At 49.8% G+C, this 23088-nt stretch overlaps 3 annotated features.

Annotated features, from left to right (window-relative positions):
- Positions 214-763: an enhancer, noted in NCBI's record as "H3K4me1 hESC enhancer chr19:30608159-30608708 (GRCh37/hg19 assembly coordinates)". NCBI's record gives its function as "activates a minimal SCP1, AML or CMV promoter by ChIP-STARR-seq in primed H9 embryonic stem cells {active_cell/tissue: H9 hESC(primed)}" and the evidence as "EXISTENCE:reporter gene assay evidence [ECO:0000049][PMID:30033119]".
- Positions 764-1315: an enhancer, noted in NCBI's record as "H3K4me1 hESC enhancer chr19:30607607-30608158 (GRCh37/hg19 assembly coordinates)". NCBI's record gives its function as "activates a minimal SCP1, AML or CMV promoter by ChIP-STARR-seq in naive and primed H9 embryonic stem cells {active_cell/tissue: H9 hESC(naive and primed)}" and the evidence as "EXISTENCE:reporter gene assay evidence [ECO:0000049][PMID:30033119]".
- Positions 19055-19298: a silencer, noted in NCBI's record as "fragment chr19:30589624-30589867 (GRCh37/hg19 assembly coordinates)". NCBI's record gives its function as "represses an EF-1alpha promoter that drives an FKBP-Casp9 reporter gene in an ReSE screen in phorbol 12-myristate 13-acetate-treated (for megakaryocytic differentiation) K562 erythroleukemia cells {active_cell/tissue: K562(+PMA)}" and the evidence as "EXISTENCE:reporter gene assay evidence [ECO:0000049][PMID:32094911]".

Below are 23088 nucleotides of genomic sequence, written 5' to 3'. Positions count from 1 at the left end.
CACGGGATGGCAGAGGCCACGGGACAGCAGAGGCCATGGGGCAGCAGAGGCCATGAAAGAGCAGAAGCCATGGAACAGCAGAGGCCATGGGGCAGCAGAGGTCACGGGACAGCAGAGGCCATCCAGGTTGAGAGCCAGTGGCTGGGCCAGCGGGACAGCAGGAACAGAGTGAGACGCAGTGGCTGCCCTGCAAAAGCACAAGACCCTCCGCTGTTGGCGGAACTGCTGCCTGTCCTGACCCATAGCCCGAGCCTGCGGCTCTGCCTGGCACTGCTGCAGCCCTTCTGTGCCTCCTTGTCTTTCACCAGAGTGGGAAACTGAGCACTCTCTACCTAACACTTTGAAGATCACACCAAGGCTACCTAGAACCCTTCTCCAATATTTCTCCCTGTCCCCGGCCCTCCACTCGCAGCAGCAAAAATCCTTCCTTCCGGTTTTGCCCCAGCACCCCCACATCCAAGCCACGTGCTGCTTCAAGGCAGCACTTAGGGGATGACTCTCTGGGTCCTTGCAGAGAACAGCCCTTGCTGCACATCTCTGTCTCCCCATTTTGATGTGGTCCCCTGATGTTGGGTGCATGCCTGCTACCCCCTTCCCCCCGCCACACACACACATACACACACACACGTGCAAAGGCCAGGCACCCCCTCCTGCCCTGGTTACCAGGCCTCCCTGCAGGAGGCCATTCCTGGGGCCGGTGGCCTGGGCGCTCACCTTGCAGAGTTACTTCTCATTGGAAGCCACACAGCCTGTAATGACCCTGAGCATTTCCCGGAATTAATGGCCAGCGGGATTAATAGTGCTCGGCGACACCCCGGGCCATTAGGCACCAGGAAGCGGCACACCTCGGTGGCTGCTGCTTAAGTGGAAGACATTAGCAGGCTCACAACAACGTCTCGCCAGGAGGGGCTTCTCAGAAGAGCTCCTGGTCCGCGCTTATCACTGGGCAAGCCCAGCAAGGGCTGTGGCCACAGGCAGGGGTACAATCCCAGAACCCCTGCTCCAGCTTCCAGAGGCTTCTGTTTGGCCTGGGATCACTTTTCCTCTGGAGCTCTCATGTGTGTGTGTCTGTCTGTCTGTCTGTGTGTGTGTGTGTCTGTGTGTGTGTGTGTGTGTGTCTGTGTGTGTGTGTGTATGTGTGTCTGTCTCTGTGCATGTCTGTATCTTTGTGTGTCTATGTGTATCCATGTGTGTGTCTGTGTGTGTGTCTGTGTCTGTATGTGTGGGTGTGTGTCTGTTTGTATCTGTGAGTCTGTGTCTGTGTGTGTGTGTCTGTGTCTGTGTGTGTGTGTCTGTTTGTATCTGTGTGTCTGTGTCTGTGTGTGTCTGTGTGTGTGTCTATGTGTCTGTGTTTGTGTGTGTGCCTGTGTGTCTGTGTGTCTATATGTGTGTTTGTGTGTGTGTCTGTGTCTGTGTGTGTGGGGGTGTGTGTCTGTTTGTATCTGTGTGTCTGTGTCTCTGTGTGTGTGTCTGTGTGTCTGTGTGTGTGTCTATATGTGTGTCTGTGTGTGTGTCTGTGTGTCTGTGCGTGTGTGTGCCTGTGTGTCTGTGTGTGTCTGTGTGTGTGTCTGTGTGTCTGTGTGTCTGTGTGCCTGTGTGTCTGTGCCTGTGTGTGCCTGTGTCTGTGTGTGTCTGCGTGTGTCTGTGTGTCTGTGTGTGTGTCTGTGTGTCTGTGAATGTCTGTATGTGTCTGTGTGTGTGTCTGTGTGTCTATATGTGTGTGTCTGTGTGTCTATATGTGTGTCTGTGCATGTCTGTGTGTGTGTGTCTGTGTGTGTCTCTGTGTCTATATGTCTGTGTGTGTCGGTGTGTCTGTGTATGTGTCTGTGTCTGTGTGTGTCTGTCTATATGTGTGTGTCTGTGTGTCTGTATGTGTGTCTGTACATGTCTGTGTGTCTATATATGTGTCCGTGTGTGTCTGTGTGTCTATGTGTCTATATGTCTGTGTGTCTGTGTCTGTGTCTGTGTGTCTGTCTGTGTCTGTGTGTATCTGTGTGGATGTCTCTGTGTGTGTGTGTATGCATGTGTGACAGTGCCTCCTCACTCTGCTTCATGAAGGACCATCCCCTCCCCACTCCGTTTGTCACCATGCTGAGTCCAGAGCCACCTCAACTACCCTTCCCCACTTCAAGGCCTTTGCACATCACCCCTCTCTTTACTCCACACGAGGTTTTCAAGTACGTACAAGTGCCAGGCCCTGGGCAGGCACAGGGCTTCCACGGTGCACAGGAATGAGGAGCCCTGCCCCGGATGGGGCTTGCAGGCTTGTAGTCCAGAGCGGGGATGTGACAGAATGATCCTTAGTGCCAGAATATTAGGCAAGAGTTTTCCCAAAATTGTCCTTTAGAAGACGGGGTGCTGCTGTGTGCTCCGGGCTTTGCGAAGTCTCTGTCCTACCGCAGGGCTCTGCTCCCAATTCCGTTCAGCCTGAACTTAAAGGAAGAGACCTATTCATCCTACAAGCCCCGCCGTCAGTGCTAATGTTGGATGCTTATAGAGGTCACCTGATGGAATAGGTTAAAAAAAAAAAAACGGGGAAAGAAAATAAACAGAACAAAAATACCTATTCCTGGGGAGGGGGTGTGGTCTCAAAACTGCAGCTGCGAGGTGTCACAGGAAAGCAGTCTTTTAAGGGTCACATAGGAAAATAAGTCAAGTGGTTATTTTATGGAGAATATGGATCCCAAATGGAGCTCACAGCTTTGGATGCATTTCTGGAGGCTGGAGTGCAGTGGCGCGATCTCAGCTCACTGCAACCACTGCCTCCTGGGTTCAAGTGATTCTCCTGCCTCAGCCTCCCAAGTAGCCGGGATTACAGTTGCACACCACCACGCCCAGCTAATTTTTGTATTTTTAGTAGAGACAGGGTTTCAGCATGTTGGCCAGGCTGATCTTGAACTCCCGGCCTCAGGCGATTTGCCCGCCTCAGCCTCCCAAAGTGCTGGAATTACAGGCATGAGCCAAAGCATCTTTAGGGATTCAAATGAATCCATACCACTGAAGGCAGGAGCCTGAGAAAACAGCTCCCCCGAGAGCCAAGGCAGTGAAAGTGGAGGGGGCACTGTGTGAAAATTTTAGTGCAATTTATTCCTGGCATGGGAGAATAAAAAAGCATTCCCAGTGAGTGTACTTCCTTGCATAAAAAGTGATTTCAAATGGTAGTTCTACTTTTAGTTCTTTAAGGAATCTCCACACTGTTTTCCATAGTGATTGTACTAGTTGACATTCCCACCAGCACTGCAGAAGCGTTCCCTGATCACCACATCGATGCTGAGATCTATTTTTTTTTTTATTTTTAGACTATGGCCATTCTTGCAGGAGTAAGGTGGTATTGCATTGTGGTCTTGATCTGCATTTCCCTGATCATTAGTAATGTTGAGCATTTTTTCATATGTTTTGCTGGCCATTTGTATATCTTCTTTTGAGAATTCTCTGTTCATGTCCTTAGCCCACTTTTTGATTGAATCATTTGTTTTTTCTTGCTAATTTGTTTGAGTTCGTTGTAGATACTGGATATTTGATCCAGCAATCTTACCACTGGGTATCTACTCAGAGGAAAAGAAGTCATTATACAAAAAAGATACTTGCACGCACATGTTTATAGCAGCGCAATTCGCAATTGCAAAAATGTGGAACCAGCCCAAATGCCCATCAATCAATGAGTAGATAAAGAAACTGTAGTATACATATATGATGGAATACTACACAGCCATAAAAAGGAATGAATTAATGGCATTCACAGCGACCTGGATGAGATTGGAGACTATTACTCTAAGTGAAGTACCTCAGGAACAGAAAACCAAACATCCTATGTTCTCACTCGTAAGTGGAAACTAAGCTATGAGGATGCAAAGGCATAAGAATGACACAATGGACTTCAGGGACTCAGGGGAAAAGGATGGGAAGGGGGTGAGGGATAAAAGACTACAAATTGTGTGCAGTGTACACTGCTCCGGACATGGGTGCACCAAAATCTCACAAATCACCACTAAACAACTTACTCATGTAACCAAACACCACCTGTTCCCCAATAACCTATGGAAAGAAAATTTTTTTAAAAAAAAATTGATTTCGGGGCAGGGCACAGTGGCTCATGCCTGTAATCCCAGGACTTTGGGAGGCCAAGGCAGGAGGTTCACTTGAGCCCAGGAGGTCGAGGCTGCAGTCAGCTACCATTGCACCACTGCACTCCAGCCTGGGTGACAGAATAAAGCCCTAGCTCAAAAAAAGTGATTTCAAGTATGCATTGCAACATAGTTAATAACTATTATAAAGAAGCATTGGACTATTTTGACTTCGTCCTTATGAGTTTCTATATACAAACAAGACCCCCACCAAAAAAGTTCTCATCTTTTCATTGGGAAAATAGTTGATCTCCTTGTGTTCAGACATGAAGGCACAAACAATAATTACATCATAAACCACTTAATTAAAACAGTGTTACGAGCAGCAAGGGAGGAGTGGAAGGTGCTATGAGACCAGAGGAACAAATCCTTAAAGAAGCTCTGCCTGTGTTGGTATTGAAAGAAGAAAAGAGATTGGCCGGGCTGACCCGGCTGGTGATCAAGGGGCTTCCAGGCAGACAGCACAGCAGGGGCAATGGCCCTGCGGTGTGGAGGAGCAGGGAAGGCCCCTCCCATGGAAGCCCAGGGGGCAAGGGCCTCTCAGGGACTCTGGCCTCTCTTTCCGGGGCAAGTGGGAGCCACTAAAGGGTTTTATATAGCAGAGAAGTGTGATCTGTGTCCATTTTGTTGCTGCTGTTTTAAGAGATGGGCTGTTGATTTCTTTCTTTTTTTTTCAGAGATAGAGCCTTATTTATTTATTTATTAGAGACAAGGTCTCATGTTTCCTTTTCTTTTCTTTTCTTTTTTTTTTTTTTTTTTTGACAGGATCTCACTTTGTCACCCAGACTGGAGTGCAGAGGTGCCATCTTGGCTCACTGCAGCCTCAACCTCCTGGGCTCAAACAATCCTCCTGCCTCAGCCTCCCAAGTAGATGGGACCACAGGTGCATGCCACCATGCCTGGATAATTTTTTTCTATTTTTTGTAGAGTTGGGGTTTCACTATGTTGCCTAGGCTCGTCTCAAACTCCTGAGCTCAAGCAATCTGCCTGCCTTCGGCCTCCCAAAGTGCTGGAATGACAGGCGTGAGCTGCCGTGCCCGGCCTTCAGGTTCTTATTTTTAGGAGGTCCCTCTTAATGCATCCCACAGTTCTCATGCTCATTATCTGAGCTCTGGGGACCCAGCAACTTGCATTTCCCATTGTGACGTCCTTCACTGTTTCCGGTAAGTTTTTCCTGAAAACTGGACTCAACGCCCTGTGGCCAGGGCTCTCCCTTCCCTCTGCAACAGGGCTCAGCATGCAGGAGATGCTGAGAAGAGACTCTACATATGCCAGCATTTGGAGCAAAGGTGAAGGCCATCAGTCTGCATAAGGCATTTATTTGTGCATAACCTCCAGATGGACAAAGATAAAGAACCAAGTATGAAGGCAGTTCCACAGGGAGCACCGCGTTCCCCCAGCCTTGAAAGCTGCCCAGAAGGGGTGGCATCTTCTCCTGGCAGGAAGGCCTAAGGCTGGCAGGGCAGACCTGGCCGCTGCAGCTCTCCACCCCGCAGCGGACCCAGGAGACGCACTCCCAGCAGCACCCTGGACACCTCCGCCTGAGTCCCCAATCACACAGGGCCACACAGCACAGGAGGGTACAGTGTGTACAAGTTAGCACAAAGTCAGAAGTTCCCTTGAAAGTCTCTCAGGAAGCCATCACCCAGGACGCCGACCTCCCTCCCCTCAGTGGGTTCAACACAAGCCAGCATTTGGGGCAGACCATGTTCCTTCCATTAAGCACTTGATGAAATTGATGGCTTGCATTTAGGGGCAAGTTGTATGAAAAATACGTCCTTAAGCCCAGGCATCTCTCTGCGCTGTGAGATGATCCGCGCGGAGATCTGAGAGGTACATAGAAAGTGGGACCCATCGGGCGAATGTCAGATCCTTGACTACCAGCCCACTCACCCAGGGGCGTGTGCCCAAGTGGAGTGGCCGGAGGAAGACGCACATAATCTAAACTGTGACCTCTAACCCCCCTGTCACTCAGAGGTGAATCCTAAAGTGACCTGCCTCAAGAGTTGCCTCCACCAAGCCACCAACCCCTGAGCTGATGGGAGCTGCACCTGGGCACTTGCCAGGATCCAGCGGGACCAAGGCTGGGATCTGCTGTGGCCCAGGGCCCTCAGCCTCAGTGCAAAAGAGGAAGGGGACCCAAGGTGCAGGGGTTGGAGCTGTCAGGGCTGAACCCTGGCTGTGGTGAGTCTTGCCGCAGGCCAGGCTGGCCTCGACACTGTGCACCCGCGGGGACGGTGAGCAGCAGGGGACCGTCCTGGGCATGAGGACTCTCACGCTCAGGGTCAGATGCGCGGTGATAAAGGGAAGCTCCACTCCACCTCATTTCGGCGTGGTTCTGGGTAGACCCCGCTGAACAAGAGCTCTCCCTCCCCCGAGCCAGCCGCCTAACCCATGAAGTTTCTGTGTTTTGTGTGCCTCTGTTCAAACCGGAAATATTACCTTGGCTTTTATTTACATTTTCTGATGATGAAACCGGCTTTAAAATGCCCCACGCCCTAGTGGAGGGGGCTCTGGTACAACTCGCGCGCAGTTGGGGTGGATGAAGGGCCCCACTTCACCTCATCTCTCCTTTCTGCTTAAATATTATGCCATATCCTGATTAATACCAGACCAATAAAATCATCTCCGCAATCTGGTTAGAGGCTTTTGTCTTCCCAGATGGCCTGCAATGTTAATGTGTGACAATTTCAACAATGAACTAGGACTGTTTTATGGAACCAACATTTGTTCCACTGCTTTTTTTTTAGACTCAGAATTTTGACACAGATGGTACAAATTACTCAAAAAACAGAAATGTTCATTTAGAAGGCTTAAATATGTGGTTTTACTCAGGCCATCAGAATATTTTACATTTGCAATTCAGTAAATTTACTAACAACCCTGCTATAATTAAGGTCTGTAAAAAAAAAATCCCTTTCTCCAGCTTTTTATATCTATAGAGTTTCATTAAAGCCAGGGAAAAAATATTATTATTTATTCTAGTGGTGCAGTGTTCTTATTTCCTCGTGACATATATTGTTCGCCTCTGCTTTCTGTTTCCCGGATCGTTTCTCACTGCTGCGGAGGACGGAGGAGGAAGCGGGTAGGTGAGTTAGGCTGCCCCTAGATCTCCCCTAGCACCCCACAAGCCAGGTTTCAGCTCCAAGTCACTGATGCCAATTGTTGCAACCACAACATCTGCTAGAACCTTCTGCAAAAGAGGATGCTAGTGTCTCCTTGGGTCTCCCATCTACCGTCTCTGCAAGGACAGACCCCAAAGCACAAACCCTTTCACAGCCAGGGTTAGTTCTTTGTTTCTGAAGATATTGACATTATTCTTGTTACTGTCACCTAACATCTGAGTGTTTGTTCTGTATCGGGCACAGGGCAGGCCACTCTCCACGAATCATCTCGGTCTAATAACCCCAGTAGCCCTCTGAAGAATAAAATGCAGTGCTTTCTCGATTTTACAGTAAGGAAGTTGAGTCTCAGAGAGATTATGCAGTAGTCAAGTTCTCACAGAAGCCTAGAGCACTAACAATGAATAAGAAGCATACAAACAAAAACTGGTATTTTCTGAGCGCTTACTCTGTGCTAGGTACTGTCTAGTCCTTTCCACATATTATCTCCTTTATCCTCTAACCTTCCTTTTTTAATTTTTAAAGACGGGATCTGGCTCTGTCCCCCAAGCTGGAGTGTAGTGGCACAATCACAGCTCACTGCAGCCTCAAACTCCTGGGCTCAAGTGATGCTTCGACCTCAACCTCCCAAGTAGCTGAGACTACAGGCATGCACCATCAGGCCCGGCTAATTGTTTTATGTTCTGTAGAGATGGGGTCTAGTTATGTTACTCAGGCTGGTCTTGAACTTCTGGGCTCAAATGACCCTCCCACCTTGACCTCCCAAAGCTCTGGGATTACAGGCGTGAACCTCCACACCGGGCCCTCCTTTAACCTTCCTTTGAAAAACGTGAGGACTGAGGTTTGGAGAAGTTAAGAGTAAGGGTGATGAAGGCCACCCCGGGTAGAGGCAGCCAGTTAGACTGAGAATCCATCAGTTCAGCCAGAGGCCGAGGGGACTGGTGGGGAAATTATAGGGGGAGCTTAAGAACCAGGGGATGCCCAGGCTGTCTGCAGTTCTGGTCTCTCAGCTCTGAGAGGATGCCCCTATAAAGGGGAAGTTGTTGGGCCCTGAGAACCATCACACGCTCAAGGTCATCCTCCTCTTCCCTTCTGAACCTCTCAAAGCTGTTTTCTGAGCCTATACTGCCCCATACACAAATTTGGGTTCCTGGAAGCCCTCGTCTTCAGCACACTAGAGGGCAGGAGCTTGGTCTCTCCATCTCTGCCCTCACTCCACCCCCGACCCGGTGGGGATCCAGGCACACAGTGGGCACCAAGCGCTAATGAGAACTATTGCAAAATGGAAGACACAAGTCATGGCTTCCTCCAAGCGCTTAGAGCCCCAGTGCAGGTCCAAATAAGTGCCCTCTGAACCTGCAGGTTGCTTTTCAGGGGTCAAGGTCAGGGATGCCTGAGGAGAGGCATGAAATCTCTTACGTGGGGTTTGGAACATGAGATGCTTAGTAAATGTCTGCTGTTTATTTTACTTTCATGATTATGATTCTTTTGAAAAATCTAATTAAATCTGTAACTTTCCTGTTCTGGGGTTGGGGGGCAGTTTCCAAGCCTTGTTTTGGGGGCTTCTGAGTGTGCTCCAGGCAATCCCTCAGGACCCTCCAGTTGAGCTCACCCCTCCTGGCTGCATTTGTCATTGTACTGATGTCAACCCAAGGAAAAATGCGCCCACCACACAGAACCTCAACAGGACAGGGAGTCCTCGCCATTTCCCTCTGCCCAACAACCTGAAGGAGGATCTGTTTAAATATTGTTTCTGATATTATTTTTCCGATAATAATGGCAAGGACAGAAAACAACACCAGGGTCCTGCTCGTGGCTTCACTTGACCACAGTTTTGTTGGTGTGTGCTTTGTGTATCAGGTGATAGCCAGTTCTGCTTCTGCCTTGGTTCCCGTGGTCCCATTATGTAAACAAATAATTTATTTCAACTTTTGAGTTAAAAAAATTTAATGCATCAACCATTGTTGTCCTTTGCTAATTGTTGCAGTAAGTACCATGCATTTATGTGTGAAGCTTCAATTCATTAGAGGATTCTATTAGCACTGCCAACAGAAAGTGCATTCTGAGTTTTTAAATGTTGTTTCCATTAAAATCAATCACTCCTCACAATTAAGCCAATAGTCTCACCATTTTTGCTGCTATGAGCTAAAGCATCCTAAATATATTGACAGCTGTCTTCAATAGGATGACACAAACGGGGGAAGGGGGGCAGGCCTAAGACTAAATGTCACCAAAGGGAGCAAGTGAGCTCCTCTTGCTGAAATGCACCTCATTTTCATACCCCAGAAGGCATTTAGTACACTTTTTTTTTTGCAGTGGCAACATACAGTAATCAATGTTTTGCATATTACAATCAATAACACACTTAAATGTTTAAGTTTTGCATTCTTTTGCAATAAATATTGATATATTACAAACTCTGGAAAAACTGTTCATTGGACTTTTTGTTTGCACTGTGTACTGTATCATTCAGCAAATAAGTGAGCTAAATATTGTTTGTTACAAAACAGATGTCAAATAAAATTATGCCATATGTGCTATTAAACACTTTTCTTATTTTTTTTTTCAGCAAAACCCAAGACTTAGTTTCAGAAGTGAATGTATTTGGCTTTTCAAGGATTTGAAGCATAAAAGCAACATCTTTGAAATATTTTTAAACCTGCTGGCTTTGTGTAATCCAGTTTTGTGAGCTAATTCTGAATATTATTACAGATTTAAAATAAAATATAGATAGATAAATAGAGACATAGATACATACTCAAAAATCTAGGGGTTCAGATTAATCTGTAATTGCCAAAGAAAGAAAATCAAGGAAAACCCTGTGCAAAAATAATTTTAAATGTAAATCAATATAAATATAGAGGGAGAGATAGGAAATTTGGAGAGTTCTTCTCTAAGTGGCTGACTAGAGGCTTTGAGAAGGTTGAAGAGAAATTTTTTTTAAAAAAATTGCCCCTGCAGAGTAAAAGTCTGAGGGCTGTTTGGAGATGTTTGGTGATTCAGGTGGTGTGTGAGGTGATTCCGGTGGTGTCTGGGCTGTGAGGGAGAAGGTGCAAGGTCTGTATCTCCCCAGGTGATCAGAGAGACTGGAATGAAAAGAGGAGGAAGGTCTGTTCAGAGCAATCGCCAGCTCCAAGAGGGCTCTGCAAGACAGGGAAGGAGGCGGGGGGCGGGGGTGCAGGGACATCGACCCCAGGCTGTCCTGACCAGCATGCGCCACCCACACCCACCCAGCAAGCCCCCTTCCTTCCCCTTGCTGGGGCCAGCAGGGCGTCCTCCACCCCAGCCCTGTCAGAAGCGTTTGCACTAGATGGATGGCTCGCTCAGCCTGGGGAAGTGTGAAATGTGAAACAGAATGAGCAGAATGCAAGAAACATGTTGCTAAGAGCCACCGAGTGAAACAAAATCTGGAAGCCCCAGCATCCTGGCGTTGGCACCCATGGCCCTGATAACTTCCACCCACGAATGGAGGCAAATGGAGGCAGGGACGGCAGCAAGGTGAAAAGGCCAGCCCTGCTGCAGGGGCGACACTGAGCGGAGGCCACTCAGCCCCTGGCTGCGCCCTCCACGCTGCACATCTTCAAAGGCTGCCCCAGCTCCCAGGTGTCCGCGTCCACCTGGGACCTTGGAATGGGGCTGATCTCAGAGACGCTGACACAGCCACGACGTGTGGGCATGACCTCTCTGCCTGGAATGTCTCGTCTCCTCCAAAATCACCTGAGCCCCTGAGCAGGCAGAAGCAGCACTGCTTCTCACCCTCCATGGACTATCACCCCGCATCCCCCTGCAGTGGATACCCCTCGTGGGCCAGGGGCAGTGAGAGACCCTCTCACCCACTCACCCAGCCCATGCCCAGATCTCTTGCAGAGCACATGTGGGCAACCTGAGTATGGAGAGGAATCCATGCCCTCGGGGGTCACCTCGACCTAGGGGGACGGCACCAATGGGTAAATGAGTCCCCACTTTGTTTCTCCAGATGGACACTTGAGAGCTGCATTTTATATGACTCCTTAGACAATTCTGCCCACCTCCCTCGGCCCCCATCAACTGGGATGATGTCCCCAGTAAGCTATACGCCCTCAGGCCTGACCTCAGGCTCTGCATTCCAAGAGAAACCCAGCTTGAGGCAATCTCCATGTCCAGTCTCCTCAACACTGTGCTTCCAGTGTTCCTGTTGGTCCCCAACATCATGTTGACATTTGGCGAGGGTCCAGGCCCCAGGCAGGTGCTTTCGGCAGCTGACTGCTTAGCAGGGATTTTCTGGGACTGATCAGTCTGTTTCAACCAAGAGGTGCATGTCTTTAACCGATGGCTACTGTCCTCTTTTTTTTTTTTTTTTTTTTTTTTGAGACAGAGTTTCGCTCTTGTTGCCCAGACTGGAGTGTAGTGGCGCAACCTTGGCTCACTACAACCTCCGTGTCCTGGGTTCAAGTGATTCTCCTGCCTCAGCCTCCCGAGTAGCTGGGATTACAGGCAAGCACCACACCACACCCAGCTAATGTTGTATTTTTAGTAGAGGCGGGGTTTCTTCACGTTGGTCAGGCTGGTCTCAAACTCTCAACCTCATGTGATCTGCCCACCTCAGCCTCCCAAAGTGTTGGGATTACAGACGTGAGCCACCACGCCCGGCCGGCTACTGTTCTCTTTAAGCATTCTTAGCTCATTCAAAGAGATGTTCTTCAATGAATATCATTGACACACTGTGACAACAGCCCCAGGAACAATGATTCCTGAGCCCGCACATTCCACAGAGACCCAGACCGGCCCTGGAAGGGCCCCAGGAACAGTGCATCTCAGCACCGGCCCTCTGGCTGGACTCTGGCCATGGTGAAATATTAACACATCTGTGTACTTGTCAGTCACCTCGTTAGTTTCAGTCTCAGTCATCCTGCGTGATGCCCTTCATGTTTCAAGCACAGGATCCCTTCTGAGCCCGCATTGTGTGCCCAGCCCAACTCTGGAAGATGGCAGGCAAGAAAACAGATCCTAACTCACAATGGGCCTGAGGAGGCAACAGAGCTCTGTCCACCAAACCTTACTCCAGAGTCAGAGTTTCGAGGAGGACCTGGAAAAACGAGGAACTGTGCATCACCCAGGGCAGTGGCAGAGCTGAAAATATCCCCAGGTTCAAGAAAGGTGTGGCCAGGCACATGGCGGACAGGTCAGCCCTGAGGGGAGGGAGGGCTGGGGCCTACCAGGGACCATGTCTGTGCATCCCAGTCCACCGGGCATGGTGGGAGTGAGAGTTCTGCCCCCGTCTGCACTCCACATGCTTCCGTGGGTGAGTGTACTGCTTCCGGGGCCTGGGGTCTGTTCACCTGGGCATTGGGCTTGCTGTCCCACAGGACTGGAGATCCAGAGTCCAAAAGGCACAGTGGCTGCTGAGTCTCCCAGTACCACAGAGTGACCAGAACCCATGGCCATGGCCACAACACAGAGCTCCATGGACGCAGGAGTGTCACGAGGACCCATCCCCACCATACAGAGCTCCATGAACACAGGGGTGTCACCAGGACCCGTCCCCACCATACAGAGCTCAATGAACACAGCGGTGTCACCAGGACCTGTCCCCACCACACAGAGTTCCATGGACACAGGAGTGTCACTAGGTCCCGTCCCCAACACACAGAGCTCCATGGACACAGGAGTGTCACCAGGACCCGTCCCCACCACACAGAGCTCCATGGACACAGGAGTGTCACCAGGACCCGTCCCCACCACACAGAGCTCCATGGATACAGGGGTGTCCGCAGGGCCCATCCCCACCACACAGAGCTTCTGTGGGGACCACGATGTCACCAGGGCCCATCCCCACCACACAGAGCTCCATGGACACAGGGGTGTCATGAGGACCCGTCCCCACCATGTAGAGCTCTGTGGGGACGGGTCCTGGTGTCACCAGGATATGTCCCCACCACACAGAGCTCTGTGGGGACCAGGATGTCACCAGGGTCCATCCCCACCACACAGAGCTGCATGGACACAGAGGGGATGGAGGGAATCACTTACAGGCCCTGGGGTAGGGAGGGAAGGCTCCTCAGGAGAGGTGAAGAACTTGGTCAGGAAGGATGAGGTGGACCTGGGAGAAACAGAAGGTGAGAGGGATTCACCAGAACAAAGGCCGAGAGAGCCCAGCAAAAAGGCCACCACCCTGCATGGCCTCCAGCCTTCACTTCCGACACACGGATGCCTTATCCTGAGGCTCATTCTCCCTATTCATGAACTACCTTGTGTGGACTTCTCAGCACTGCCTCCAGCACACCTACACTGTAAAGCAGTAAGGAGAATGGACTTGGTCCTGAGGAAGCGGGATCATTGACTATTTTAAACTGGGGCCAGGGGTACCTCATCAGATTCTCAATTTAGAACCTCCCTTCTTCAGCTGTGCTGAAAATGTTTTTTCAAAGAAGTTAAGAGGCTGGAAAAAGCAGTGCAGCTGGGGCTGTGGAGAGGGTGTGTGGAGGGGATACAGGGTGGGAGAGAGCTGGAATCTACAGGACTGAGGAAGGGGAGGCAGGGGGGCCAGGTGAGTGGGGGGTTGTCAGGTGAGGGAAAGGGAGGGAACTGCCAGAATGACCCCTAGCACCCGGCTGGCCCCCTGGGTACCTGGTGGCGCCCTTCACGAGGGTGGAAGGCATTGCAGGAGCCGTGGATGAGCCACTAATGGATGGAATATCCTATTACTTGCCCCCACCACGTGATTGGGACCGATGCAGCTAGCCATGAAGAGTGGAGGTAGGAAGCTGGCGTTCCTTGATGTTCTCTTGGTTGAGTTTCATCTTTTGGTAGCGGACAGGTCAAGCCAAGAAAGAGAGCATTTTGGAGGCTGGGACACTGCTCTGGGAGCCTGGGAGAAGGGAGGGAAGGAGAGGGGCTGGAGCGGAGAGGTCTGGTTCTCCAGAGGCAGCAGGAACACCAGGGAAGGTGAGAGGCTACTCGGGCTGGAGGTGGGTGGGACGGCAGCAACAAGCAGTTGGCAGCATTTGGAAGGGAGCTGGCCTGGGGGTGACCTTGACTCTCTAACCACTACCCATCTTATACTCAGTGTTCCCCCCTGTAAAACATGCTGGGATTCTGGGCCTTTGTGAACTTTATCTTACATGCTTAGAGCATCAATTTCTTTTTTTTTTTTTTTCTTTTTTTGAGACGAAGTCTTGCTCTTTCTCCCAGGCTGGACTGCAGTGGTGCAATCTGGGCTCACTGCAACCTCTGCCTCCTGGGTTTAAGTGATTCTCCCACCTCAGACTCCTGAGTAGCTAGAATTACAGACGTGTGCCACCACGCCCGGCTAATTTTTGTATTTTTAGTAGAGACGAGGTTTCACCATGTTGGCCTGGCTGGTCTCAAACTCCTGACCTCAGGTGATCCACCAGCCTTGGCTTCCCAAAGTGCCGGGATTACAGGTGTGAGCCACTGAGTGGGGGGTCGGGGGGTCATCAAATTCTAACCACTAAATCGGGGATTGCAAAAGAGACCGGGGCCAAGGTCAGAAAAAGAGCATGTGGCCTTCTGAGACAATTGTTGGTGGCCTCAGCCACAGCAAGACACTGTGGGGAGTGGTGGAGACTGCAGCCACCTGGACCATACATGCTCCATTGAGACGGGGCAGCTGCTGCACAGAATGAGATGGGGGATCTAGGGGACTGTAAATCTGGTGTGGGTTTCTTTTTCCTCAACAAAACCCGGACATCTAAACTTAAAGACAAAGCAAACAACATCCCCCAAAAACGTAAAAATCAAACTGCCAACAGGCCACACAAAAGACTGTGGAGGGTGTGCAGAGCCCACAAGCCTTGGGTTTGTCACCTGTGCTTTCAATCAAAAATTCCTATAAATCCTCGCTCTCCAGTGGAACCCGCAGATCCAGACCCTTGGAAGCCGGAGCCCAGTGGATTCGCCGTCTGTGAGGATGGTGAGAAGCTGGAGCCTGGGTGGAGCGTCTCTGGGAGCTAACAAAGAAAGATTTCTGAGGCCAGATCTCAAAATGTTAATCAGATTCAGAGACATAAAACATGACAATTTAATGGTGTTTGGTGGAAACTGAAAATTCTTTAAAGTTCTAACTATCCAAAATTGAATTCTAACACTTTTTTAATTATTAGATATAAAATGCTTATAATTTTAGGGGGAAATTAGACTTGGTAATTTATATTTCTTGTTTATACAGTGCAATTTGCTGATGAAAAAATGTGCTAAACTTATTGATTCATGACCATAATTGTTTAATTATTTATCATTGCAGAATGGTATTAGCATTGCTAATAATGCAGATGTGCACAAAGGCTGAGGAGTCAGAGGCAGCTTTTGTTTGGGGTGCGCAGGGCTCCGGGAAGCCTGTTTCAGGACAGAGGGCGGCCTGCCTGGGACGCGATGTCCCCAGGCCACACCTGCCTCTACAAGAATGACTGCAGAAGAATTGATCACCTTGGTAGCGGTGGAACTGCAGGGCCAGACATTGCCCAAAGTGTGGCCCCACAGATCCTACTTTCTGAGCTTAGAGCCTCCAAGTTCAGTCCTGTCTCTCTGAACTCAGAGCCTGAGCTAGGAGACAGATTCGTGGCCATCGTGAGGGTCCCTCATTCCATGAACAGCCTGAATGGCAAAGTCATCTGATACTGTTTGGGTGTTTGTCCCCTCCAAATCTCATGTTGAAATTTGATCCCAATGTTGGAGGTGGGGCCTGGTGGGAGGCTTTTGGGTCATGCGGGGAGATCCTTCATGAATAGCTTGGTGCTGTCCACCCTGGGGTAATGAGTGAGTTCTCACTCTGTGTTCATCCGCAATCTGATTGTTTAAAAGAGTATGGCCCCTCTCCGCCTTCTCTCTCTTGCTCCATCTCTCGTCATGTGACATGCCAGCTCCCCCTTTGCCTTCTGCTATGAGTAAAAGCTCCCTGAGGTCTCACCAGAAGCCAAGCAGATGCTGGCACCATGCTTGTATGGCCTGCAGAACCATGAGCCAAATCAACCTCTTTTCTTTATAAATTACCCAGTCTCAGGTATTCCTTTATAGCAACACAAGTGAACTAGGACACCAACCTCATCCACTCACTCAGCATGGCCCAGCTAACCTTCTGCACAAGGAACCAGAGAACTTGTGGAGAGCCAGGCTCACAGACCTGGGAGGGGTCAACAGAAGCTTCTTCCATCTCCCCATATGGGTCATTGGCTAAATGTTCATGTTCTCAACCATCAGGTAAATCCCAAGGGGGCATAAAGCCAAAAGAAAGTCTAGAGTGACGCAGGCGATGCAGGACCCTAAGTCCCACACTTGCTCTCAGAACTAGTAGCTCATCTAATCAACCTGCTCACATGACAAACAGGGAAACTGAGTCTTCAAGGGAAGACCAGATGCACTGAGTAATCATCCCCTGTAGCCTTCAGGAGAGTCAAGTGTAGAAGTCAAGGGAGGTGTGGAGTGAGTCTGAAGGTCACAGCCTGGCCTAGAAACATATTTGGGAGTTGCTGGCACAGATGTGCTGGGGAGACCAAATTATTTATCTCAGCCCCTCACTCTCCTGTAATGGAACCATCCATCCACATCCTTGTCCCAGCTCTCAGTGGGCCAAGCAAACTTCCTCTCCCCTGACTCTGGGGTCAACCCAAAGCAGACCAGTGAGGCAGTAGCAGACACAGCAGAAGCAGAAGCTTGGATCATCTTGTTCTCTTGAGCTCCAGCATTTTCTTTGTGATGGTTAATTTTATGTGTCACCTTGCCTGAGCTAAGGGATGTCCACGTAGCTGGTGGAACCTTCTTTCTGGGTGTGTCTGTGGATGCTTCTTGGAGAGTTGAGCGTTTGAATCAGCAGACCGAGTGAAGATGACCACCATCTCCAATGTGGATGGTCCTCATCTGATGCAAATTTGCTCTCCCTCTCTTTGAGCTGGGACACCATATTTTCCTGTGCTTGGACACGAACATTCCTGGTTCTCAAGGTTTTCAGACTCAGACTGGGGGCTTCTCTGGTTCTCAGTCCTACAGGCTTGGACTGGGACCACACCACTGGCTTTTGGGCCTCCAGCACAGAGAGCAGATCATAGGACCTCTCAGCCTCCAAAATCATGTGAGCTGATCCCTCATAATGAATTTCTTTCTGTGTCTCTATACAGTCATGTGCACTTAACAATGGGGATACAGCCTAAGAAATGCATCATCAGGCAATTTTGCCACTGTGCAACTGACACAGGGCAGGCGAGCTCCAAATTTGGGCCTCAGGAGGATTCTTGGCTTTGCCCAGGAAAGAATTCAAGGCCAAGTCAGTGATACAGTAGAAGAAAACAGCTTTATTGAAGAGGCAGTGTTGCAGCTCTGTGACTGCTTCTGCAGAGCAGGGTTATCCCACTTCATTTGCTAAGGTCTGCAGTCAGATCCAGGGCAGGTCTGCAGTCAGATTTATATCCACTTTCAATCACGTGCAAATTTAGAGACAGCGTATGCAGAAATCCCTAGAAAAGGGGTGGTAACTTCCAGGTGTTGCCATGGCAATGGTAAACCAATATGGCACACGAATGGGCATGTCTTATGGAAAGGTGCTTCCACTCCGTCCCTGTTTTAACTAGTTCTCAATTAGGTCCAATGTCTAAGCCCCACCTCCAGAGTTGAGTCCCACCTACTATCTCACAACTGTCAGAGTGAACTTACACAAACCTAGATGGTACAGCCTACTACACACCTAGGCTGTATGGTGTAGACTATTACTCCAAGGCTACAAACCTGCACAACATGTTACTGTACTGAATACTGTAGGCAATTGTAACACAAAGGGAAGTACTTGTATATCAAAACCGTATCTAAGCATACACATGATACAGTAAAAATATGGTACACAGGATAAAAAATGGCACGCATCATGAATGGAGCTTGCAGGACTGGAAGCTGCTCTAAGTGAGTCAGTGAGTGAGTGGTGAGTGAATGTGAAGGCCTAGGGCATGACTGTAGACTTTATAAACACTGCACATTTTGGCTTCACTAAATTACTTTAAAATATTTTTCTTTCTTCAGTAATAAATTAACCTTAGCATGCTGGAACTTTTTTACTTTATGAACTTTTTTATTTTTTTAACTTTTTGACTCTTTTGTAATAACACTGCTTAAAACGCAAACACTTATAGAGCTGCACAAAAATATTTCCTTTATATCTTTTTTATAAGCTTTTTTCTTTTAACTTTTTAAACTTTTTTTTAAAAATGGAGACACAAACACATACATGAGGCTAGGCCTGCACAGGGGCAGGATCATCAATGTCCTCCACCTCCACATCTCATCCCACTGGAAGATCTTCAGGGGCAGTAATACGCATGGAGCTGTTGCCTCCCTTGATAGCAATGCTGTCTTCTGGAATCCCTCCTAAAGAACCTGTCTGAGGCTGTTTTACAGCTCAGGTGTAAATAATGGTATACCTGTATAGGACACTTACTTTTTTTATATAAGTAGCCCCACCTCTAGAGTTGAGTCCCAAGTTTACTCTGTGATAGTTGTGAGGTAGGAGGTCAGACTCAACTCTGGAGATGAGGCTCTAAAATAACAATTAGAAGTACGTTAACACGTAAACCAGTAACATAGTCATTTATTATCAGTATCAAGTACTATGTACTGTATGTAATTGTATGTGCTAGACTTTTGTACAATATGACGGGCTTGTTTATACCAGCATCACTGTAACAGTGGAGTGACGCGTTGCTCCATAATGTTACAATGCCTACAACACTAGGCAATTGGAATTCTCCAGCTCCATTATAATCTTATGGAATCACTATCGTATAAGCAGAGCATCATTAACCGAAATGTCATTATGTGGCACATGACTGTGTATGTACTATTGCTTCTGTTTCCCTGGAGAACCCTGACTAATACATGCTATGAGAAGATCAAGCCCATGTAACTGGCCCCAGAAGGAGGTGCATGGAGCAGAGCTACTGCAGCCAACCCACAGAGGCACAGACCAGAGATGCATGCTCACTGCTGTCTGACAATGAGAGGCAGGGAAGTTTATCTCACAGTAATATTGCAGCAATTGCTAACTGATAAGGTGAGTTTTAAAGCTGTAGGATTAGGTAGCATCATGCAGGGAGAAGGAGGGGCAGGAAAGAAGCCCAAGGAATAAACATGATAAACTCTAGCATTTAGAATAAGGAGGAAGAGCTACCCAAGAATGACTTCGCAGAAAGACAGAAGAAAGGACGTGGAGTGTGGAGGCCAAGAAAGTCATGTATTTCAAATAGGAAACATTCATGCTGCATGTGGCTAAGAGGTCAACTAAGATGAAGGCAGAAAAGCCTATTAGGTCCATGGACGTGAAGGTCACCAGTGACCAGAGCATGAGGGGGGGTGAAATACAGGGACAAAAGTGGAATCCTGGGCTACAGGAGTCAATGAGCCACTGGTGACAAGACAATAGATCCCAGGACCTTAGACACCCAAGAGCAGAGGATGGACAAGAAATTGGAAACACAAAGACGCCCATATCAGGTGGTCCATCAGTCAGTGGACAGGGGAGACATGATCATCTCCTTGCTACAGATGGGTAATCTGAAGGATCAAGGACGCAAGGCCACGCTGCAGGCCTGACACTAGGTTGAGGCCCTGGAGAGTAACATCTGGGCAGCCCAAGGAGGTCCCTTGTTCAGTCCCGCCCTCCCTGAGGGTGCTGGCCCCTCCTCTGGCACACCCAGCTGCAGAGGGCAGGCTGCCCCTTGTGGGGGGAGGTTTTGCTACTGCAGGTCTCTCATGCCTTTCCCTGAGACCATCTCACCTCCCACCTAGCCACAGGCCCCAAGAGGGCAGAACTGACCGCTTCTCCTCCAATGAGTTTGGCCACACACTGACCGCCCTGGTCACCATTTAGCTGAAAACCTAAAATTCTAAGCCATTTCAGAGCCCAGCTGCGGCGTCAGAATACACTGCCTTGGAGGATGGATTTGTCTGAGGCCCCCAACCTCTCCAACGCTAATGAAAACCCCTCATCTGGGCTGAAGCCCCTTCCAAGGTGTGTGAGAAGCTCTTGCGTCAAAATGAGGTGTTGAAAAGAACAAAAACAGTGTTGGTATGCTGCATTGTTGTGTCGGTTTTGGGGAAATGGGGAGTTGTGTTGGGTCTGCTCAAAACAGACGAAAGCATCTCTCGTTCCTGTTCCCAGACCAAAAAGGTGAGTCTATCACCACCGCATCCCTCCAGGCTTGGTTTTTCAAACCTACTGAAGGGGACAGGCAGAGATTGCCAAGGACCCAGCCTGACCCAGGAGACAGAGCCTGAGAAACACTATCAAGCCAAGTGACCACAAAAGCAACATTAGTGCAGTGGATGCAAGCCTCGCCCTGGTTTCCCAGTGTCTGCAGCTGTGAAAACACAAAAGAGACACCCCATTAACAGCCAACGTGATCTCCCCATGTGCCGGAGCTCGAAGACTGATCTGGAGGAAGTAAAGGAAGGCGACTGCCTCTTCCCTCCAGAAGTCACTGAGCGAATCCATGCCCAAATCTTTGTCCCACTGCACGGGGGTGGCGTGTCTTCCAGGGTTCAGCTCCAAGCTGGTCTCGAACTCCTGACCTCTGTCACCCAGCAGGCCAGTGGGCAGATGGCAGTCAGCAGGCAGATGGGCAGCGGGCGGACTGGTGGCGGGTGTGCCCAGCTCCCTGGTCATCTCACCCTCAATCCAGGAGCCTCTCTCTGCAGTCCCCACTGCTCCCTCAACCCTTTCTCAAGTGGGCTCCCCAGCTCTGGGGGCCGCGACCCCTCCATCTGTTGAACCTGCTCTGAGCCCTGGCTTCCCTGGAAGCCGTGTCCATTCCTGACCTGTGCTTTTCCAACAGCTTTGCAGCTTGGTTATAGCCAGAACATTTGTTCCACTCAACAAAATGTATTTGTCTCTGAAACTACCGAGCTTCCCGCAACTCCCCTTTATCAGTTTCAATGCTCGTGAAAGGCCATGTGTGCTAGAGTTAAACACCTGTGTGGAGGGCTCAAACTGCAGCTTTGCCACTCCCTAACATGTGTGGCCGTGGCCATTCTTCTGCCCTTCCTGGGCCTCGGTTTTCTCATCTGTGAAATGGGGATTGTGATTTCTATTGCACACCGCCTGGTGAGGATTTGATGAGACACAGTGCGTGGGGTGCCTAGGACAGAGGGACTGTCCCATAAACTCATGCTAAACAGGCAAACACCCAAGGATGCCCCGGAGGAATCTCCCAGAGTGCAGGACCAGCGCTGCCACCAATGCATGTCACGTGGCCTTGGGTAAGACCTCCTCCCTGGACCTCAGTTTCCCTCTGTTGATGAAAATACACAAATCAGGTGTGACCATTTCTGGAGGCCCTTCCAATGTGAAATAATAATAGCAGAAGCCAGCCTTTATGAAGCACTAACTTCCGCCAGGCGTATTTTTTTTCTTTTTTCTTTTGTTTTTGTTTTTGTTTTGGAGATGGAGTCTCACGCTGTCACCCAGGCTGGAGTGCAGTGGCGCCACCTCGGCTCGCTACAACCTCTGCCTCCCAGATTGAAGCGATTCTCCTGCCTCAGGCTCTCAAGTCGCCTGAATTACAGGTGCGCGCCACTCAGCTAATTTTTGTATTGTTAGTAGAGATGGGATATCACCATGTTGGCCAGACTGGTCTTGAATTTCTGACCTCATGTGATCCTCCTGCCTCGGTTTCCCAAAGTGCTGGGATTACAGGCGTGAGCCACCGCACCCGGCCTATATTTCTAGAATGTCGATGCACCACCCCCACCCCTTCCCTCCATATTCCCAGTGCCCCCGGCCTCCTACCACTAGCATCTGCCACTGTGCTGAGGACAGTCACTGGCCCTGGACTGTGCTCAGCAGGCGCATGGGACTGGCCACGCATCCTGGGGTTTCACACCGTGGAAGCAGCCCTTGCCAGTGAGGGAAACTGCTGGATAATCACCTGGAGTCCTTGCCCTCTGGGAAGATAACTCCCAGGGCTCTTGTGCTCTGCTGTTCCCTGGAGGTCCCCAGCAGACCCAAGCCCCCGTTACCAGTGGCCCTAAGCTGCTTCTGAGCACAGCGCCTGGCCGTCTTCTCTTCTCCTACTCCCTCCCTGCACTTCCTCCCAAATACATTCAGATTCCTCTCAGAGTTTACTTCTGTGGAAACCCGAATGAACACATCTCCTCTAATGCGCGCCACGCTCCTGGGAAGCAGGTGCCAGGACGGTCACCACTCTGCAGACAGGAATCAGGCTCAGAGAAGTAAGTCCCCTTCACCCCAGGGCTGGCAAGTGAGGGAAGGTGCAGTGCATGTAGCTGGTGGCCGGAGCCCCACTGCAGGCTCCAGCTCACTTCACTGATGCTGGGGGATTTGCCCCAAGGCCTCACCCCATCAGAGTGGATGACCCAGTCTCCCAACCCCTCAAGATTCAGGACAGGCTTCTGTAGGGTCATCGGCACTGCACCTCCAGGGCCAGGGCCAGCCCTCCCTCAGCCCAGTGTGCAGAGCCCATTCTGTGGCCTGTGTGGCCAGGGCAAGGCCAGTGGGTATGCACAGAGAAGGGCCTCGCTGGGGCTGGGCCTGCATCAGGATCTGCTGAGCAAAGCCCCTCCCCCACCCAGCTCAATCACCCCAATTTTTCCTGCCTTGAGCTTTTTTCTTTGGACCTGGGTGGCTGTACCACCTTTTGTGGGTCTCAGGAACAACCCGATTTGGCATCAGAAGCCCAAGGCCCAGTGAGCCTTGTGACTTGGGGTCACTCACTTCTCTCTGAGCCTTAAATTCTTGTTCAGCCAAGTAGGGATCCACCAGGTACCCTCCCTATCTTGTAGGAATCTGAGGAGGAGATGGGGGTCACGCCTGAAGACACAAGCACTTGCCCTCCAAATACCAGAAACTG

Source organism: Homo sapiens, chromosome 19 (assembly GCF_000001405.40).
Source record: "Homo sapiens chromosome 19, GRCh38.p14 Primary Assembly".
Taxonomy (NCBI): Eukaryota; Metazoa; Chordata; class Mammalia; order Primates; family Hominidae; genus Homo; species Homo sapiens.
This window is presented reverse-complemented; position numbering and strand designations above follow the sequence as displayed.